Consider the following 22,437-nt stretch of genomic DNA (forward strand, 5'->3'; position numbering starts at 1 on the left):
GTACAAAACTTAGCTGGGCGTGATGTTGTGCCCCTTAGTCCCAGCTATTCAGGAGGCTGAGGTGGGAGGATCACCTGAGCCCAGGAGGTCGAAGCTTCAGTGAGCTGTGATTATGCCACTGCATTCCAACCTACAGAGCAAGACTTTGTCTCAATTAAAAAAAAAATGAAGATAGAGAAAAGCTGTTGAATTTGGCAAAAAGATCAACTGTGGCCTTGGAGTATATTTTTTGTAAAGTTGTGATGATAAAATACAGATTTTTCTGGGCCCTGACCTGTCCTTCAAGACTCAACTAAAAACATTGCCTCCCAGTGATGTATTTCTTGGACTGAGTCCACCAATCCCTGTGGTAGATAATTCTATTATAGCAGTTCACCTATTATACTAAAATTCTGCTCACCTGTTTTTCTTCCTGATTAGACTGAGAATTTATTGAAGGCAGAAGCTGTGCCTTTTTTTTTTCATCTCTTTCTCCATCCCCAACCAGCTTTATTGAGATCTAATGGACAAATAAGAATTGTACATATTTAATGTATACAATTTGGTGTTTTGATAAGAAGCCATATCTTGTTCCTTTTCAAATCTCCAGGGTCTGGCATAATACCTGGCATACAGAAGATGTCTGTAAATGCCTGCTGAATGAATGATTGGAGAGCAATTGGAGGCAAAGGAGCAACTGCAGTCTGGCAGTGAAAGAAGATGAATCCCATAGTTTGAAGGCAAATGAGAGCAGGGCAGTAGATGCTGCTGGAGCAGGTAATAAGCAGGGAATCAGATCCTCCAGAGCATGGAAAAGATGTAATTAAAAGCACAGCTTTGAAAAGCTTTAGAAAGCAAGAGGGACAGCTCTTTCTCTGAGTATTGAAGGCAGCATGAGAGGGTAGGTGTATAAGATAGAGTAGCTTAGCTCAGATGGCCCTTTGCTAAATTAAGTCATAAAGTTAATGCCTTTGCTGAGAATGAGGTGGAAAAAGTGAGATCTGGAGCCTGAAGAAAAAAACTGGAAGAGTGTTGGTGAGAGTGTATTGGTGAATCAGTAAGAGATGACTAGATCTCATGCTATATCCCCAGGCATTAAGGGCATGTTATCACAATCCAATTCCTTTCTGTAGGCCTTGAAATAACAGGCTGCATCTATCAGCCATGCTAATTGGGACTGGCTACCAGACTTGGGGCCTGGAAGTAACTGGAGCCACTGATATCTCCCTCTCCTGAACTCTCTCTGCACTTCCTTTCCACCTTTTAAGGCACTCAGTGCACTTTATCTCCTATTGTAACTATCTTTTTCTTGGTAGACTGTAAACAATTGAAGGCAAGGGCTGTGTCTTAGTTACTGTTGTGTCATACCTCAGCATAGTGCTTTGTACATAATAGGCAGAAGATGTCTGTACCAGCCATAGTCTGTAATACAGCATTTATCACATCATACTGTGTATGTTTGCTTGCCGTCTCTTCTTTTTGACCATGAGCTCAAGGGCAGGGATTGAGTTGTATTGATCTAGGTCTCCATTGTGTTTGGAACTTAATAGTTTTGCAAGTGTTTATTGAATCAAAGTTTGTTGAAATGAATGCATGGATGAAATAATGAATAAAAGATAGCAAAATGTGGGGATTTGGGGGGAAACTTAAAAAGATGGCATACTGCATAGGCATTGCATTTTGTCAGTTACACAATCATCTGTCTCATCCTGGCATCAGTAAGTGTGTAAAGCTGGTAGAAAATGATGCTGGGGAACCTGTCTTCATATACACCATAAATGTTTGGAATACACATTCTGGATCTTCTTATGCAAATCTTTAGCCACTCCCTTTCACAGCATAGGGCCTTGGGTTAAAGGGCTAAGGGTTCCTTGCAGCTAAATGGCTGATTTGTCCACCCTTATTAGGTATCTATTTGAAGAGTTCAACGTCACACCACCATGGTCACTGTTTGCTTGGGAACTTACACTTTAAAGTTGACATTGCAGAGAAAAGTAAAAAGATTGACGAAACAGTATAGAAACAGCATTGGATCAAGACCGTGGAAATCCACCGCCACTACAGGAAAAATGGCTCTTGAAGAGCATCTTTAAATTTTCACTGGTTTAAGGCTTTTTTTTGTTGTTAAAGTCTGTGAAGCCCATAGAAAATAACAAAAGCTAACCCTTACATAGGGCATACTATGTGCCTAGGCATTATTCTGTGTGATTTACATATACTATCTCATTTCTCACAACTACCTTTTGAGACGAATACTATTATGATCTCCATTTTGGACAGGATGAAACTGAGGGACTGAGAGGTAATAGAAAGCGATCAAGGTCATAGAGCTAGAAGTGGCAGAGCTGGAGTTCAAACCCAAGCATGGCTCCAATACACCAAAGAGGAAAGCACTCGTCTAGGTGTCTGGTTTACATGTATAGATTATAAAGAAAATCACCCTATCTTTTCTGATTGTGATAATCCCAGCATTTATGGAGAGTCTGTTATATGCCAGGGATGCTAATAACACGCTTTAGTTGCATTATTTCATTTCTTCCTTACCACAAACCCGTGAGGTACTATTTTTATCCCCATTTTAAAGACCAAAAAAAAAAAGGTATAGAGGTTAAAACGATTCGCCCAAGGATTGAAATGCAGGCAGGGTGACTCCACTACAAGCTTCTCAGTCATTCCTGGCAATAAAACGAACGGAGGACCTCAAAGAGATGCCATGAGAGTACAATGAAATAATGGATGTGAAAAGGCCTCGGCGAACAAGTGCAAGGGATAAGGCCTGTCTACGTGAATCACTGTTGTGAACTGGTTACCCAGGGCCCCTGTCCAACGGTTTCCGTCCCAATCCTGCCCCTTCTCCGCCCAGCCCACAGCGATATCTTTGAATCTCTTTCTCTATCTCCTCTGATCCTGCCCCCAAACACTCGGCGGAGCGGCGGAGCGGAGAATAGAAGGTCCGCGCGCGAACAGGAGGCGGGGCCTGCCGCCTTCAGTCGTACAGGGGGTGGTTTCTGCACATGCGCTGTGGCTGTGCGGCTTCAGCTGCCCCCTCTCTGCGGCCAATCAGGGCCCGCGGCGCGCTCGGGACGTATCAACGCTCTGTGGGTCGTGTGCGTGCGAGGGGGGCGACGTAAGGGCGCTCCGCGAGCCCGTCTCTCCTCGAATGAAAGGAAACAACCTCCGGCGACAGAGCCCCGCTCTCAGGCACTGCTGGAGAACCGAGACCGACTTCTTTCTCTTTACCCTCATTGGCGCTTCTCTCCTGCAGTCCGCCTCTGGGCCCTGCCGGTGAGTCCCCACGGAACCCTGGGGCCCCCCATTCTCTCCCCGGCGGGAGAAGACAAGGAGGATGGCGGTGGCCAGGCCGCCGCCCCTGCCCGTTGTTAAAGGGGACTCTTGGTGGTCTCGCTTTATTGTCAGGGACCCCAGAAGCGCCGCTCATTGTAGGCGCTTGGCGGAGAGGCTGCTGAGAAAGTGCTTTGGAGGTGCAGAAGGAGAGGTTAGGCTTACGCCTAGACTTCGGGGGAGGGGGCGCAACATTTGAGGAGGGAAAAAACTGGGAATTTTTAGTTTTTGCCATTGCTTAGAACATATTTGGGAAAGAGGGAGACTCCCAGTTTGGGAAGAGTAAGAGGAAGAATTGTTAGGATGGCAAGAGAGAGAGCCTTACGGAATGAGGAAAAACTCCGGGGTGGGGGGAATTAGGGGTGAAACTGAGGTATAAGGGGAAGCTTACAACGAAGACTGTGAGAGGGCTAACTCTTGGGGGAGGGGGCATAAAGAAAGTGGTAGGATGATATTTTCCTAGATTCGGGAGGATTGGAAAAGGACGATTAGGGGACCCTGACTTTACGACGGAAAGGAACCTGCTGAAGTGTTTTAGGGGAAGATAGTTTTGTGACTTTAGCGCTTGATTAGAGGGAGATCTTGGGAGTCTAGTGTGTATTGGGGGAATAAATAACGGAGAGGATCCGGTACTTTATGTGTACCGTCTTTCATTATATGGATGAACACCACGGTATTCTTTTCCAATTTCCATTCGTTTTGATATTCTGCGTGGAAGTTAAAAAATCTTTTGTTTTTAGAAAATCTTTTATTTTCATCGCCTTACTACCTAATGTCAGGTCTTATTTATACTGTTCAAATTCTTTCTCTACCCTTGGGTTTGAAACAACTGGAAAATTCCTTTAGTTTCCTTTTGAATAACCGCAAAAAGCAGTGCGAAGCATGTAATAATATCGTGCAACCAAATTCAGGTGCCCTTCCGGTACATCTTATTCGTTTATTTCTGTCCACTGTAACTTTCCTGTTAGAAATACTGCTTCTTTGGGGAATCACGTTTGTTATCTGTTTTGATTTGTATATTTCAGCTTGCTTTCGCGTGGAATGTTTTAATCTTCCGGAACTGCAGTTTTTGTTGTTTTGTTTGTTTTTCTGTGAAAATGCTTTTTCAGATACCAGGCATTGATGAGCTCTGGAGTTGGTTCTTGAATGCTCTCTCTGATGTTTCAGGTTATTTCTACCTTGGTGCTTCGCAGCATCTTGGAAAATCAGAAATGCATTGATTGCTTCAGCTTAACTAATCTAGCTTTTATTTTTTTTCCAGGCATTTAAATTATGTATTTCACGCTGTTATTGTTGCCTCTTTATTTCTGCTTTGTAGTATTTTCCATAATGCGATGTTTCTTTTAAAGAAAAGCCTTCATTGTTGCGTGAAAGCATCAAACTTTGATCTCCGCATGGCCTGAAAAACCTTTTAGACTAAAATTAAAATGCCATATAGCTGTGGATCATTATGAACCCCTTAGTATTGGTCCTTGGAATGCCCTTATTCTGCTTAAGTAGAGACCACAAATGTGACAACATTAGATAAAAATCTGTACTTTTATGATAAAGACATTTTTGCTAGGAGTCATTGTTTCCATGATGTTCTCCACTTCATGTTTTACAAGGAGACTAAAAAAATTACCAAGATATGCGCAGATGTATTATTTGAATTTTAGTGGAAAAATCCATTTAGTCATTGCACATTGGGGAAAGTTTTTAATTGGTTTGGTGCACTTTTTTTGTGGCTCTTCTTACTTTACAAATTAAATTTAAGCTGATTACAGAAAAAATACACTAGAATATTTTTTAATGCAAAATAAAGTGTACCTTTTTTCTCTTTTAGATTTTTGGGGTCTTTGATATCTAGAAAAGCAGGTTCTCAAAATTAGGATGAGAAATTAGCCTGTTTATAAATTGGAAGAGGCAGAATTAAATATAGACAGAATTTTGGGGATGCCATTTCGGAATTAATTTTAAGAATACGAAGTGATTTTTTCCATTCTAGAAATTTTCTTTATCTTAAGCCAGCTTTATAGCCAGTGCTAGGATTGTATGGAAATTACACATTAAAGATGTCTGTACGGGATTTGATTTATACTGTGCCATCCTTTCAACTGGCCAGGATGACCGGGAGTAATGCTGAATACATTATTATGGTGATTTCAGAGTGCGTACTATTCATTGCATAGTAGTAAAGAAACTAATTTAGAACTCAAAATATAATAGCAAATTCTGATGCTATTTATGAATTTTGGTATTTTGCATAGTTAATTCTAAAAATTTGGGCAGGTATACTCTTGATAAAGCAACCGAACACAGATACTTGCCTGAGCAAATGCAAACACACTTCCCTTTTGTTTCTTTTGTTTCTCTGTTATGTCCTTTTTTTTTCTTTAATCCTAAAAGTATTTGCTGCCTGTTTTCAATCAGTTTCACGGTTTATAGCCAGTGCTATGAATACAGTACTATGGTAAAGTATCCGTTGTCATTTGGACGACTGAGATATTTAAAATTATAGATAGCATTAAGAGTTTGTTAAACCTATCAAAGCAGAGACTGTCAGGGCCTTTGAAGTTGTGTTAAAAAGAAAATTCTAGACATAAATGGATGAGAAGACATGTTTTCTTTGTGGCTTCAGGTGAAATTTTGATTAAGTATCTGAATTTTATATTGAAAAGCACTGAATAGTTTGTAGATATTACCTTCCTAGCATACAGCTGCTACTGTTCTTGTTGGTGAACGAATGCTTCTCAGCTGCAATGTAGTGTTAGACAATTTTTTTTCAACATAGTATTATGAAACTGTTCAAATGTATAGACAAATTGAAACAATTTAGTAAATTAATTTTAAGACAAAAGTTTGAGATTTTTCTTGATTGTGACGTGTGTTGTGGCAACCTGGATCTTGAACTGCTTAGTCCTGTTGATTTGGGAAAACTGTACAAATCAAGTAACTGGTTTTAAATTTCTTCTGAAGAATCCATATTAAGATTGATGATCTAAATCTGAAACCTTTCATGTTAGAGCTTTCCTTCCCTTTTTTTGACTACACTGTACTACCTATAATTAAAATGTGACCAAATTTAAGGCTCATTCAGAAAAAAATTTCTTCCTTTACACAATATTACTAATTTAAGTACGGAAGTTACTACATTTAGAAGACCACTATCAGTTTGTGACTTTAATTGATAAGCAGGCTTGGAGTAAATCTTAGTCATATAATATGGTTGTTTTATAAATAATTGGGTCTTAAAGTCTGCATTTTTAAATAGACTGTCAGAAGCCTAACTTTTTATTTACTTGAAAATGGAATAGAATAGCAAAAATTAATTTATTAAAGACATATTCCTGATTTTTTTAAACTCAGAAATAATTTTTAAAGTGCACCAAAGTCATAGTTAGGTAAATTCGTTTTACTTTTATTGTTTTATCAATATGTGAACTTTAAGAAATTGTTCAATTACAGAATTCTGTTCCCACGGAGTATTCTGAAGTTTCCTTAGTAGCTTTTACCGTGTTCTTAAGAGGTATAATTCTTTATCGCCTTGAAAGGGCACCTAGTTACACATGAAAATATTTTACATTAATTATGCCAGCAGGGGATAATTTAATATTATACATTGTACATTTCTCTCCACACAGAACTAGTGTCAGTTATTTCACATATCCTCCAATTTGGAAGCAGTTTGATTTTTCTCAATTACTCTAAACTTCATTTAGCTGTCTGTTATCTATCTATCTGTATTTATTACGGAGGCATCTTAGGTTTTAATGTTAATTTATGTATACTAAATAACCATTTAAAAATGTATATATTAAAACCTATGTCAAACAAACAACTTACATGAGTATGTATAAACTGATTTTAAAACAAAATGAACTTTGTTACCCTTCTTATTCTCTGTAGCATTTCTTGGGGCTTAGAGTGGCTTAATTTGTCTATACTAAATAAACATTTAAAAATGTGTATATTAAAACCTAGGTCAAATTTTTAACAACTTTCATGAATATGTATAAACTGATTTTAAAATAAAATTAACATTGTCGCCCTTCTTATTCTCTGTAGCATTTCTTGAGACTTAAAGTGGCATTCTAAAGGCAATTTAAAAATCATGTCAAGCTCAGTTGAACAGAAAAAAGGGCCTACAAGACAGCGCAAATGTGGCTTTTGTAAGTCAAATAGAGACAAGGAATGTGGACAGTTACTAATATCTGAAAACCAGAAGGTGGCAGCGCACCATAAGTGCATGGTAAGTATACCGGCAGCAACAGAGACCTTGAAACGATTCATGAGACTCTTAATAACACATGAATGTTCCTGAATACTAAAAAAAAAAACAAAAACCAAAAAAAACTCAGTTAAATTTTAAGAAATGGTTTATCACTAATGCTATGCCATTTTTACTAGAAAATTACCATTTAAATTTGACATCTTATTTACTGTTTTACTGTGATTAATTTATATATGAACCTTAATTTTTTTTAAATGTAATTTATAGCTCTTTTCATCTGCTTTGGTATCATCACACTCTGATAATGAAAGTCTTGGTGGATTTTCTATTGAAGATGTCCAAAAGGAAATTAAAAGAGGCACGAAGCTGGTAAGTTGGTATTTCTGCCTCTTGAGAATAAAAATTATTTAAACTCATTAAAGAGGAAATTGCTTATTTTAGAGTGTATTGCATTATTAACTGAGTATAATTTTAAATTGCAGGCTTTTCTTTTTTTTTTTCTCTGAGCCAGCAAAATCCAAGGCCGGGTTTATCTTATTTACCACTCAACAAAAAGGAATGAGTCAATATTTATACTATTCAATTTTTTTTGCTTTTCAAAGAGAATTAAAATCTTTTTGGAGGCTGTTTACTTAGAAAACAAACAGTTTGGTTAATTTGAGTATATATTGTGTTAAAGTCTTCATTCAAGTTTATTTTTCATAATTCTGATATGTTTTCATCTCCATCATAAAGTTATGGTCATTACAAATGAACATGACAGTAGCCTCTCAAAAGGAAAATATTAGCACTTGCTGAACAAAGTATTTTACTGTAGTTCAGCTGTATAACACAACATTTATGACTTTGGATAACTTTCAGTGAATTTCACAGGAGCTTTTCTGAAGCTGCGTTAGAGTAATGTTCCCGTAGTTGTCTTCACTACCAATAACCATATTAGTAAGATATTACATTGCTCTGTTGGAATAGTAATGTCATCTCAGTTGGTACTTATGACACATTATGGTTTACTTTGAAACGATTATTTTTTGTCTTTTTTGTTTCCTTCCTTTTTGTGGAGAACGGGATCTCGTTATATTGCCCAGGTAGGTCTCGAACTCCTGGGCTCAAGCTGTCTTCCCGCCTCTGCCTCCCTGAGAGCTGGGATTACAGGCGTGAGCCACTGTGCCCGGCTACTTTGAAACAATTAATGGGAAGATTTATTTTTATTTTTCTCATTTGAACACTTTATTAAAATTACATCCATAAATGCACCTTTAATAGCTTTGCTATCCAGTTTCATTTTTTAAAAGATGCGTTTTGCCAAACATATAACTGCGTTTGTAGTTACTAAATAACCTCTTATTTCACAAAGACTCTGAGATGGTAGTTTTTGGATGAAATGGTAATAGGAAGAGGGGGGCTATCATTTTGATGATCAGGAATAATATGTTTTGAAAAGTAGTCTTCTATTAATCGTTTTACATAAAAAGCAATATGAAGAAATATGGGCTCAAAAATGACATTTGGGATTTGCTTTAGGATAGTCTCAAATCCTAGTATCAGTATTAGTACAAATGAGAATTCAGAGGTCAAACCATTTCTGTTGTAGTGAGACCTTAACTGTGAAAATGTTTATCTTCCCCATCCCCAAAACTGTAGATATTAATAGAAAGCTCTGGGGTTTTTTTTTCCTTTTTCTTTTCTTTTCTTTTCTTTTTTTTTTTTTTTTTTTTTTTTTTTGAGACAGAGTTTCACTCTCGTTGCCCAGGCTGGAGTGCAGTGGCGCAGTCTCAGCTCACGGTAACCTCTCTCTACTGGGTTCAAGTGATTCTCCTGCCTCAGCCTCCCAAGTAGCTGGGATTACAGGCATGCGCCACCATGTCTGGCGAATTTTGTATTTTTAGTAGACACGGTGTTTCACCATGTTGGTCAGGCTGGTCTTGAACTCCAGACCTCAGGTGATTTGCCCAGTTTGGCCTCCCAAAGTGCTGGGATTACAGGTGTGAGCCACCACGCCCAGCCTAGAAAGCCCTGTTTTTCAAATGTGGATTTTATTTGGTGGTTTTAGGTTTCTTCACGTTACTGTGCTGATTTCTGAGAACCATAGCACTATGTTTTTATTTCCTAGTCCTTAAAATAAATGCAGATATAAAAAAGAATGATACTTACTTGAAAGTGATTGTGCTGTAAACCTTATTACCCCTTTATTTATTGCTTGACATTATGACTATCCCTGGAAAATATTTCTGTATCCTGACTTGTTAGCATTTTGTCACTTGACACAGCTTGTATAGTCAGAACAAAAGCAGTTTTGGTCCCTAATGTTGAAACATTATTAACAAATGCAATGCCTAGTGTTACACTACATGAAGCAACAGCATACATCTGTCAATATTGCGAAGTTCAGTGGAGATTTAATTTATTTGGACCTTTTTTTTTTTTTTTTTGACAGAGTCTCGCTCTGTCGCCCAGGCTGGAGTGCAGTGGCGTGATCTCGGCTCACTGCAAGCTCCACCTCCCAGGTTCACACCATTCTCCTGCCTCAGCCTCCCAAGTAGCTGGGACTACAGGCGCCCATCACTGTGCCTGGCTAATTTTTTGTATTTTTAGTAGAGACGGGGTTTCACCTTGGTCTCAATCTCCTGACCTCGTGACCTACCTGCCTCGGCCTCCCAAAGTTCTGGGATTACAGGTGTGAGCCACCGCGCCCGGCCTTGGACCTATTCGTTAAAGCATCAGAACTTTGTATGAGTTTTACTATTATAAATTGTTTTGATTAATTTTTAGTGTTATAGTGTAGGGAGATAATTTTTTCCCCAAATGTAGTGTGTTACAAATAACGAAATTTGTTCCTTGATCTAGGGAATGGAACAATACTGGGAATTGAGAACACAAGCTTTAGTGACAGACTTGAGTTTGAATCCCAGCTCTGTCATTTACTAGCTAGGTGATCCTGATTAAGTTATTTACTTCTCCAGGCCATGTTTTCCTCACCTGCAAAAGGGGTTAGATAATGACAGTACTTGCCTCCCAGAATTATTGCCAGAATTAAAAGAGGAAGTATATAGGATTTAAGGTGGTGCTGGGCACATGGTTAGGACTTGATAAATAGTAGCCACCACTTATTGTTTTTGTTTGTTTTTGTTTTTGAGATGGAGTCTTGCTCTGTTGCCCAGGCTGGAGTGCAGTGGTGCGATCTCGGCTCACTGCAGCCTCCACTGGGTTCAAGCAATTCTCCTGCCTCAGCCTCCCGAGTAGCTGGGACTACAGGTGTGTGCCACCATGCCTGGCTAATTTTTAATTTTTTTTTTATTTTTAGTAGAGACAGGGTTTTGCCACATTGGCCAGGCTGGTCTTGAATTCCTCACTTGAGACCGTCTGTCCGCCTCGGCCTCCCAAAGTGCGGGGATTCCAGGTGTGAGCACTGAGGAATAGTGGCAGAAGGGAAGAACTTTTGCTCCGTTTCCTTCCCTTAGAATGTCAGTTTAAACAACTTATATAGGGGATAGGAATGTAACATACGTTTAGGTTTGAAATAATTTTTGAAACTCCTTTTAGCCTTCAGTTTTGCTTCTTTCATTATATCATTTTTACATGATGTGCTATCAGGTAACCAAAATTCTAGATTTAAGTTTGATTCTCTACTATTCCCTGTGTCAATTTGTCTAAGCAATAAAAGGGCTATGAATCAAATAGGAGGGGGGAAAAAGAGTGAAGAGCTTAATGTAACTAGATAAACTGCATATAAACTAGGTAATCAGCTTCCCTAATTGACATTTTTTTTTTTTTTTTGAGATGGAGTTTCGCTCTTGTTGCCCAGGCTGGAGTGCAATGGCGCGATCTCGGCTCACTGCAACCTCCGCCTCCTAGGTACAAGCGATTTTCCTGTCTCAGCCTCCCAAGTAGGTCAGATTACAGGCATGTGCCACCATGCCCAGCTAATTTTTTTGTATTTAGTAGAGACGGGGTTTCACCATGTTAGGCTGGTCGCGAACTCCTGACCTCAGGTGATCTACCAGCCTCGGCCTCCCAAAGTGCTGGGATTACAGGCGTGCACCACCATGCCTGGCCCCTAATTGACTTTTTAAGGCATTTTATCCCGTGAGCCTGTTTGCTTTGGCTCCTGTTCATCTGGATTTCTAGGTGAAAAGTAGGTCATGAACACTCATTCAAAATCATCGAAAACTGGAGTACTGAACCCTGAGTGCTTTCAAGACAAATTTCAATCTGTACCTGGTGTTGACTCCAAAGTTGCTCGCTTGCCCCAAAGAAAAGAACAGAGAGATAAGGAGGCTAGGGCTTGAGGTTAAAGTGTACGTATCAACAGCCAGGTGGGTCAGAGTTGAGGATGAGAGGGCTCAGTAGAGCAGGAGGTGTGAGTGTTTGGTTTTTATGTTCTTGCTGCCACAGGCAATTTTCCAAGGTTCATGTCAGCCACAAGGATCAAAGGAGGAAAGCCATTCTGCATGAACATTTTCATCTCCTTTACACGGTCTTTAATTATATAGCACCAAGATGGACCAGGAAAAATTTGCCAGAGTACTAAGGCTTTTATGATTTGATGCCCTGTTTTTGCAGTTTAGACAGATATATATTTTTCCAGTATGATTTCCAGTTTCTACTGAAGCCATATGGAGATACCACATCTGTACCATCTATTCTTACTTAACTCCAGTCATCTAGCCAAGAAATGCAAATTTCCAAGTAAAATTATGAGTTAGCACTGCTTTTTTGAATTTAAGGAGATACTTGAAAGAAGGATATTTGAAGAATTTACCGTTTCTGGATGAAGCTAGCTGGTGAGATTACTAAGGGTATCTACTATCTACATTGGATAGCTATTCTTCTTTTTTTTTTTTTTTTTTTAAGATGGAGTTTCCCTCTTGTTGCCTAGGCTGGATTGCAGTGACATGATCTCGGCTCACTGCAACTCCGCCTCCCAGGTTCAAGCAATTCCCCTGCCTCAGCCTCCCCATTGGCTGCAATTATAGGCGCCCACCACCACGCCCAGCTAATTTTTTGTATTTTTAGTAGAGACAGGGTTTACCACGTTGGCCAGGCAGGTCTCAAACTCCTGACCTCAGGTGATCCGCCTGCCTCTGCAGATAGCTATTATTCTAATTGGTACCGGTGTCAGATTATATCACAGATTACAAGAAGAGAAAGAGTTCAGAAGGCCATTTAGTTCACCTGTCTTACCCCTATGCAAGATTTCCTACAAGCCACTCAAGATAAGATTTTTGGCCTAAGGATTGGCTGACACGTGTAATCCTAGTGCTTTGGGAGGCCGACTGGGAGGATTGCTTGAGGCCAGGAGTTGAAGACCAGCCTGGACAACAAAGTGAGACCCCTATCTCTACAAAAAAATTTAAAAATTTTGAAATGTGGCATGTTCCTGTAGACCTAGCTACTCAAGAGGCTGAGGTGGGAGGATTGTGTAAGCTCAGGAGTTCGAGGCTGTGGTGAGCTATGATTGTGCCACTGTATCCATCTAGCCTGGGTGATAAAGTGAGGTCCTGTCTCAAAAAAAAAAATTTTTTTTTGCCCTGTTTTTAAATATATCAAGAAATTGTAATTCTACCCAAGTAACCTGAAACAAGACCAGTAATATATAACACTCTTCAGAGTTGAGAAATTCATCCTTCTGTATAAATTAAGTATTTCTCTTAATTTAAAGCCATTTTAGATCTGTCTCCTTCCATTAAATAAATATTTGAGTTTTTTTTTATTATTAAAAAACCCTTCATATACTTGATGACTGTCCTCAGGTCACTCCTAAACGTTCCCTTTTTTCACACTAAATTTTACTCATGTCTTATGAAATCCTCTGAACAGTTTTCCTGCTTTTTCTAGTAGTAGAAATAGAAATAGCTAACATTTGTTAGACACTTAACATGTGCTAGGGACTATGCTAAGTTTTTTAATTATATGATCCTTTTTAATGCTGATAATCATGTTGTGAGATAGAGAAGTATTCTCATCTTACATGTGAGGAAATTGAGGCTCAGATGAGTTAAGTAACCTGACTGTAGCTAGTAAGTGGCAGAGCTGGGATTTGAATCCAGGGTCAGTTGACTCCCAAGCCAGAACTCCTAATCACCAGGTTACGCTAGACTATCTTTTAAGCTACCCACTCCAAAATCACTTTTAAAGAAACATAAGGATTACAGCTTAGCAGTTTTCTAATAAAGATGGAAATAGTACTGAATTTAGGACATAATCAGACTCCTATTAATATGTTCTGTTAAATAGTAATATCTTGTTAATTTTTAGGACAAAAACCCTATACACATCCTATGTAAGAATATTGTGATTATTACCCTCCAGATACTTTTTAGCCTCTGAAAATAAAAAGACCATTTCCACATAGTCTTCACTTTGTTATTTACTCAGTACCACTGGAGTACTTAGCATTTTAAAGAAACAGGGTGTCTTCTGTCTGGGAGGAGTCTTACCTATTGAGATAGTTCAGACTGCTTCCTAGAGCTGGTAAGGTTAAAAAAATGGAATGAGTCTAGGAAATATTAATAGGTTAGCCATACCAGAATAGGTCTTTGAGACCCATTCCAGTTGAGTAAGGTGGGATGATTGCAGGGTCTTCCAACATTAGAGAAGAATTTCAACTCAGATAGGAAGGGATGGGGAAGGGTAAAAGCAGGATTTTTCAGGAGACAGGTGATATACAATAGTCACTGTGGAGAATGAAGTATAATAATGGCAGCATATTTGTCTACTCTACATAGATGTCCTGCAGGCATCTTAAACTCAACCTGTCTTAAACCAGTATTCATTACCACCCCGCCCACCACGCCCACTCCCTGAAACCTGATTCTTCTTCTGAATCCTTTACCATCAACTCTTCCTTCTTCCATATCAGTCACGTCAATTCTATTTGTGGGATATCTCTGCCTTTTCTTCTTTCTTTCTTTCTTTCTTTTTCTTTTTTTTTTGAGACGGAGTCTTGCTCTGTCGCCCAGGCTGGAGTACAGTGGCACGATCTCGGCTCACTTCAAGCTCTGCCTCCTGGGTTCACACCATTCTCCTGCCTCAGCCTCCCGAGTAGCTGGGACTACAGGCGCCCACCACCGCTCCTGGCTAATTTTTTGTATTTTTAGTAGAGACGCGGTTTCACCGTGTTAGCCAGGATGGTCTTGATCTCCTGACCTCATGATCCGCCCGCCTTGGCCTCCCAAAGTGCTGGGATTACAGGCGTGAGCCACTGCGCCCAGCCTGCCTTTTCTTTCTTAATGCTACCCTATGTCCAGTCTTGCTCCTCCCACCCTTCCAACATACTACTGGTAGTTACTTGATCTCTGCTTTTAAAAGCTAATGCCACTCCCTAACTGGAAACCTTTCATGATTTCTTACTGCATACAATATAATGTCCAGAGGCCTCAGCCTGCCATTCAGAAGTCTTGTCTTAACCCACTTTTTCCATCCTTATCTCATTCTCTCTCCTCTAGGTTTTCCAAGCATCCTGTCTCTGTCCCCGCTGCGGTGCCTGTACTGATGTTCACCTCTGCTTGCGGCTCTTTTTTCCTCCTAGCTGCCTCTCAAAAGTTCTGTCTGTTTTTGAGATCCAGCTCAAACTTCACACTTCATTTCTGTCATATAGCATAACACAATATGCGTTGTATTTGATACACATGTGCAAGCCTTTTTTCTCCACTGTATTGTTGACTCTGGGAGAGTAAGACTGTATTCTCTTTGCCCAGCCTAGCATGATGTGGGGATAATGCATAGAAAACTCTTAATATGGTGCTTGATGTCTTCTTTGTACTCAATAGTGTTCTAATAAATAAGTGGGTGCTCATTGTTGGTGGACTTTGAAGATGGAAAGGGCTTCAGCTGGATAATAGTGTGAAGCCTTAATAACAGGCTAGGTATAAATTGAACAGGGAAGTCATGGCGTAGCACAAAATTCCTCTCTTTTGGTTAATTAGTATTTTAGTGTTGTTTACAACTTGAGCAGTTTGAAAAGGGAGGAGAGTAATTTAGAGGGAAAAATGACGTTGGTTATTTTTTTTCCAGAGAGTAGAGAGCTGTGTATGCCTCAAACATGAGAGTTTTCATGTTTCTTCAGCCTTCACTCCCTCAGTATGGTTTTGTGTTTGTTGTTTCCTTAGGTATTATATTTGTCAAGGCCCCATATAGTATAGAGTTTAGAATTCAACTGTTTATCAAATACTTTAGTGCCCACTTTCTACCAGCACAATGCTAGGTACTTTGAATGTAAACATGAATAAATATGGTTTAACCTTAGAAGTATTTAAAGAATGGCACAGGAGAGCTGGGAAAGAGGATCACAATTAATTATGAGAAGTCAGAAGGCTCCATAGAAAACGAGAGTTGAAATGTGTTCCACCAGGAGAGTGATGCTATGGAAGTCAAAGACAAACAATTTCAAGGAGGAAGAAGTGGTCAAAAAATATTAAATAAGTATTAAATGCCAGTGCTATTTATAGTAGATTGTGTGACTTACTTAGCGTTCAGTAGGGGCAAAATGGAATACCCACATTGTATAGAATGCTGCCACTTTGCTTTCTGCAATCACAGAAGCTGAAGATTCTGGATGACTATTGGTGCTACTAAATCGTTAGAGCAGAGGTACCTAACCAACTCTACTAAATCAGAAAAGGGGCAGGGGTGAGGGTTGGGTTGCAGGCACAATCTTTTGAAAAAGGTTCCCAGATGATTTTTTTTTTTTTTTTAGACTGAGTCTCACTCTGTCGCCAGGCTGGAGTGCAGTTGTGTGATCTTGGCTCACTGCAACCTCCGTCTCCCTGGTTCAAGCGATTCTCCTGCCTCAGCCTCCCGAGTAGCTGGGATTACAGGCACACGCCACCACGCCCAGCTAATTTTTGTATTTTTAGTACAGACGGGGTTGGGAGTTTCACCATGTTGGCCAGGATGGTCTCGATCTCCTGACCTTGTGATCCACCCGCCTCGGCCTCCCAAAGTGCTGGGATTACAGGCGTGAGCCACCGTGCCTGGCCTCCCAGGTGATTTTTGATGAACAACCCTGGTTATGGACCATTGCCTTGTGTCAGGGGTTGGCAAACTTTCTGTAAAGGACCAGACAATATTTAAGGTTTTGTAAGCTATGTGGTCTCAGTTGAAATCACAGACAATACACAAAGAAATGAGCATGGCTGTGTTTTAATTAAACTTTTTATTTACAAAAAGTTTTTTTGTAAATAAAACAAAGTTTGTAAATCCCGTGGATTAGGCCCACAGGATGCCTTCTGTAGGGAGGAAAAGAGGTAACTTTTCTTCCTGAAGATTTATTCAGTGGCCTCATTGTCATCTGTGTAGCTAAGCGTACATGCATTGTGAATGTATTCATATAAATGTGATTTTTTTTAAAAGCTCCAGTTATGGCATGCAGATTAATTTTAATGTATGCAGATATTTTACCAGTCATTTATATTAAAATGAACTTTACTTTTGAGGTGATAAAGGAGAATGAATGTAAGGTCAAAGAGAAACTTGGAAGTGTAATGATGGAGGAAATTGGGTCTTTGGCTATTACTGAATACATTTTTTTAATGCATAATTTTTTTATTTGCCTCCATTTAATACTTTTTGGTAACTGGGAATACTGTCAATTAATTTCATTATAAAATCCTCATTTATTTTTGCTAATGGAGGAGATCCAAAACCAATAATATAAACAAAATGTATTCTTGGTGTTGGGGGCTGTCTTGGTACTTATTTGAGCATAGGTGTGGATGAGGTGTTCTTCACAGACTAAATATAGCAAGCGGCATAGCAGTTTAGAGTACCCTCAGCTGGAAAAACCCATACACGAGAAAAGCTTGGACATAAAAATCTGAGCTCAGAAAATGTCTGTCTGAATCTTTCAGATACACAAAAAGAAACTTCAGAAACTCCAATAAGATAATTTATATTCCTCATCAATCATGATGCAGAAAGTCAGATAGAGTTGGAGTATGTGATATTCTGAGCAAGGTCAGGAGATGAGGTTAAGGCTTAGTTCATTTCCCTCCAATTTCCAAGACATCTGAAATAATCTATTCAGTAACTACTTAGATTTAGTCTGTTAAATCTAGTAAAAATTTAATGAGTACTTTTCAGTGGCCCTATTTTTTAGAAGCACCTGGAATTTAAGGTCCTAATCTGTTTTTCAAGCAACTTGTCACTTTTCAGTGACTGACAGCTTTCAGATTTCACTGTTTTCTGGCTTTCCATTTAAACCTTAAAAGTAGTGTTTAGTTTGTGTTCTTATGAGACCTCCTTCAAAATGCTGTATTTTTAAAAAATAGTAACTAAAGGATCAAACAGAAACAGTTATGAGTTCGTATTCCACCCTCCCATGAAGTGGCACTTTTTAAGGAATTTTTAACACATAAATTTAACAAATAAAAACTAAAACAGCAGTTAACCAGATAATTCAGAGCCACTCTGTTGTCTAGTTATTTGGATATGTGAGGTATTACTATAAATAAAGCAATGAAGCTGGAGTTAAGGAGCATTTTTGGGGCATCTCTGAAAACTTGCCCCTAACTGTACTGTCACTTTCTAGTTTTTATTGGAGGTAGTATTACCTGTTATTAAAACAAAAAGCCAAGCACCTGCGTAAAGTAAGCTGCTTTCACTTTGTTTTTGGCTCGTATCTCCTGTGCAAATATCCTCAGTACAGCGTTCCCTACTCCAAGAGCTTTTGGCATTTTTTTTTCTTTGCCTACAGGCTCAAGAACGTGACCTCTTTTTGTACCCTTCTTTGCCTTGTCTGTGCATTTGTAGCAGTTTTCTGGGAGCAGGTTTCTTTAGAACAGTTAACTGCTTGGCTGTGAGAATGTGTATCTATACACTGATAGTCAGTTACTGACAGACATATTAGATATAGGACAATGAAGCTGGACAAAGCTAAGTTGCAGACAGCCTTTCCTCCATCAGTTCCCTATGGCTCTATCTGACCATTAGGTTCCAGCTTTTCCCCAAGAGCCTTGTCGTAGAAGTTGGCAATCTCATTTTCATTTTACTCCCCTATAGTTACTGAGAAAGCAATATTTTTCCTTTTGCTCTTTAAGACTTCTTTTTGCAAACTGAATTTCAGTCCTGTCCTAGTTAAGTTGACTGAGGAGCAGGTATGCCCCAGCCTCTGGCTCCTACCCGACATTAGCTAAGTCTCAGTCCATTTAGTTCCTTGTGTCTCCTCTCATGCATGACTTAGTTCCTCTTTCATCAGTGGGTCAGCTCCTTGAGACTCTGCTTATGTTGCACAATTTAACCTTAAGTTAGTGTAGCTTCTAACAATACGATAGAGACGCCATGCAAATATCTGTAATAAGACAGGACCTCTTTTTCCAGTATCCCTAATTTGAAGCTGTTAATTAATTATTAAGGTTTACTAGGTCGACTAGGTAGCAAACTGAATAGGGGAGTGAGAGAAAAATTATTATTAATGAAGAAGTTTTCACCTCTATCTAAATCAAGAACTTGAAATCAGGATACAAGCAGGATAAGCTGAGAATTAACATGTATGCCTATGTTGGAGGCAGGAAATTAGCCCTCAACAGAATATCTGATACATGGGGCAGGCCTTTTTTGCGGGGAGTTGGGGAGAGGTCTTCCATTGTTTTTGAAAAACATGTTTCTGTCAGGTTAACTTTCATTTTCCCACGTTTGAGGGAGCCATGGATACTGTGCAAGCATGATGGTACATGGCAGCTGACAGTCATTCTGCTGAAGGCCCAGTAGGGACTGTGGTAAATTGGAGAGCAAATGTTTTGTGTAAAGGGAGATACTGGAGCCATTATTAGGGTATAACCAACCAGGTGCCTTGTGGTAGAGGGGTCCCCATTTTCCAGTTATTTCACCTTTTTCTAGGGAAGGCCTCTTTGTTTTATTTTTATTTCCTATAACATTTTTTAAGCTGGACTAGCCACCTATCTGGTTTCTCAGCTTCTTTAATTTTTCTTTTTATCTCATCTTAGTTTTCAACCTTGTTTCTAGCGGGGCTAATCTTTTCCCTGAAACATTCTTGCCACGTTCATTCTGTGCTCCTCCAACTGGATTGATCTCCCCAATTTCACCATTCCCAGTCCTAGATCAGAATGTTTAAATATTTTTAGAAGTAGCTGAAGATAATTATGTTAAATCTGCAGGTATTAGAAACATGAATGAGAAAAAATATGCCATAAGATTAAGATCTTCAATAATAGAGTATGTTTGCAATGACATACTTACTGAACAGTACTTTGTAAGGCACAGTGTTACTCTTCAAAAAAAAATTCTGTCTAGAATGAATTGATTGATAAAATTTATGTATTTATAATCAGCCATATAATGGAGTAAAATGATAAGAGCCAAAATGAACAGTATATATCTTGAGTCCCATAGGAGTTTAGAGAAAAAGGATTATTTTAGAGGTTGGAATATAGCATGGTAGACTAAGATAATTTTCCCTTTTTGTATTCATAGGTAAGCAAGCAAATGTAAACATTGTATTTTGGCTTTATTATGGATAATTTTTGCTATTTTGTTAGTACCTTGCCAGAAATTTGACTGCTTGTATGTGAATGCTGCATAAAATAGGTCCTGGGAATTCTAATTTAGCAAAATTCCAACTCCTAACCTTGTAAAGAAGTTTCCACTCCGAAAATATTTTTTATTGGTATGTCTTCCTCTTTCTTGTCTTTCTTGAGTGAAACTGACTATAAAAATAAAGTAAGCTTTAAAAAAATTATCTGTCCTGAGTTGCTGTAGTTAACTGGTTATTTGCAAAATGCATGTATTTCACCATAGCAGCTTAAAACCAGTTACTTTGGGCAGATTTAAATTTATAACCAGCCAAAAACTATTTTGGTATATTTTGGGTTTTTGGTTCCCATCTTATTCTCACCAGACTGAGAGACGGGTATTGAAAGCATTTACTAGAGTTTTCCTAATTTGTTTTTTAAATAATATTTTTGCATATAAAAGTACTTTTGCCCATTGTAGAAAAATCAAAATACAGGGCATTATGAAGAAAACCAGCCACCCAGAGATAGCCACTTAGCATTTTGCTGTTTTTACTTGCACCTGTTTTAAAGAATCTATGTTATAAACATAGTTGGGTTCATAATTCACATAGTTTTGTATCCTGCCTCATTTTTTTTAACTTAACATTACACATAGATCTTCCTGAGCCATTCCAATTTCTTTGAAAAGAGTGGCTGTAGAACATTCTCTCATATGTGTATACTATAATTTATTTAAACATTTTTCTTTTTCTTTTTTTCTTTTTTTTTTCTTTTTTTTTTTTTTGTGATGGAGTTTCACTCTTTTTGCCCAGGCTGGAGTGCAATGGTACAATCTCAGCTCACCGCAACCTTTACCTCCCAGGTTCAAGTGATTCTCCTGCCTCAGCCTCCCGAGTAGCTGGGATTACAGGCATGTGCCACCACACCTGGCTAGTTTTGTATTTTTAGTTGAGATGGTGTTTCTCCATGTTGGTCAGGCTGGTCTTGAACTCCTGACCTCAGGTGATGCGCCCGTCTCAGCCTCCCAAAGTGCTGGGATTACAGGCGTGAGCTGCTGTACCCGGACCTAAATATTTTTCAATTGTTGATAGGTGGTTTTACATTTTAGACTGTTCTAAATAATTCTACAATGAATGTGCTTGTGCATTAATTGCTTGAGTGTGATTATTTTTTAGACTAGGTTTATAGAGTAAAATTACTGGCTTAGAGAATACAAATTTTTTAAAAACCTTGTTGAATAAGGCAAATTGCATTCTAGAGAGTATGTACCAATTTCCAGCTGTATACAACAGTGCCCATCTTAACTGTATCTTGTCAATGTTGAGCTCAATATAGTATTTTAAATGGCACCTCTCTTTTCAGTTTTGCTCGCTAATTGAATTTAATATATTTTTTTCAAAATGTACCCATCTAAACCTGTTTTGGATGTAAGTTTCAAGATAAACTACTTTCCCTAAAGTTCTTAGTGAAGTGGGATAATGTTTGATGCGTTAAAAAAATAGATTGCAAAATAGTATGTGTAGAATTACGTTTCACTAAGCATTGTAACACTGTGAGGCATCTCTGCTTGGTGAGTATGAGTGATTTAAAATTTTTCTTTGTGCTTTTTTGTTTTCCAGAATTTCTTTAATATAATAGAACTTTGTAATTAAGCTACAGTTCAAATGCTGTACCTCCTTAAGAATTTATAAGCCATCCAAAAGCTTTGCCTTCTTGATAATTTGGCATAGTATTTCTTTTTACAGTAATACTTTGAAGTTTCTGTATTTATTTAAGGAAGAAAGGGGTATTTCTTGTATCAATAATGGGCACTGGCCCTCATGTTTTCTGGGAAACAGCTGTAGTGAGACTGTTTCTGTTTCTGACATATGAATATTTTTTAAATGATAGCCTGAATGAGAGTTTTAGTGTTTGACTTGCTTAGAGAAATGTAAGAAATTTTATTGGAATTTATATTAGCCTCTTGGTACACCAATATTGCTTAGAGGCCGAGTAATCCAAAAGTTAGGAATGCTAAGTGTTCTTTATGTTCAAATTAATAAAAAGAGGGATGAGAACACTTTAGAACAAGGTGTCCAGCAACCAAGAAGCAAATGAACAGTTTTTTAGATTTAGCTTGTTGTGAATCTATTTTGGCATGTCATGTACAGTTAAATGGCCTCATTATAAAAGTTCACTTGGTACAGTACATTATGATATGTTAATCAAAACCACTGAAAGTCATTGTTATGTAACTTTTTAAAGATAACTTTTTTCCTAAATGTAGAGCATGAGCTAGTTAATCAATATGAATTATCCATTAAATTCAAAAGGTAAGGTATAATAAAATACATTGAAAGAATCTGTTCTTTTATCTGTTTGCCTGAATTCATAGTGCAAGAGGTAAGTGACATAGATTAAATTGAAATACTGTGCATATTTTCATAATATAAT

The 22,437-nt window shown here is 38.4% G+C and overlaps 1 protein-coding gene across 3 annotated transcripts in view, besides 1 other annotated feature; it reads left to right on the forward strand.

Annotated features, from left to right (window-relative positions):
- The window catches only part of PHF6 (PHD finger protein 6), a 55,479-nt gene continuing 36,150 nt past the window's right edge, over positions 3,109-22,437 (forward strand). For all 3 annotated transcript variants that reach the window (NM_032458.3, NM_001015877.2, NM_032335.3), the window contains exons 1-3: positions 3,109-3,264; positions 7,369-7,552; positions 7,802-7,903. In NM_032458.3, coding sequence (NP_115834.1) covers positions 7,415-7,552; positions 7,802-7,903 — 240 coding nt within the window. In that variant the 5' untranslated portion in view covers positions 3,109-3,264; positions 7,369-7,414. The remainder of the gene's footprint in view (positions 3,265-7,368; positions 7,553-7,801; positions 7,904-22,437) is intronic.
- Positions 11,302-11,502: a silencer, noted in NCBI's record as "fragment chrX:133515535-133515735 (GRCh37/hg19 assembly coordinates)". NCBI's record gives its function as "represses an EF-1alpha promoter that drives an FKBP-Casp9 reporter gene in an ReSE screen in K562 erythroleukemia cells {active_cell/tissue: K562}" and the evidence as "EXISTENCE:reporter gene assay evidence [ECO:0000049][PMID:32094911]".

This window comes from Homo sapiens, chromosome X (assembly GCF_000001405.40).
Source record: "Homo sapiens chromosome X, GRCh38.p14 Primary Assembly".
Taxonomy (NCBI): Eukaryota; Metazoa; Chordata; class Mammalia; order Primates; family Hominidae; genus Homo; species Homo sapiens.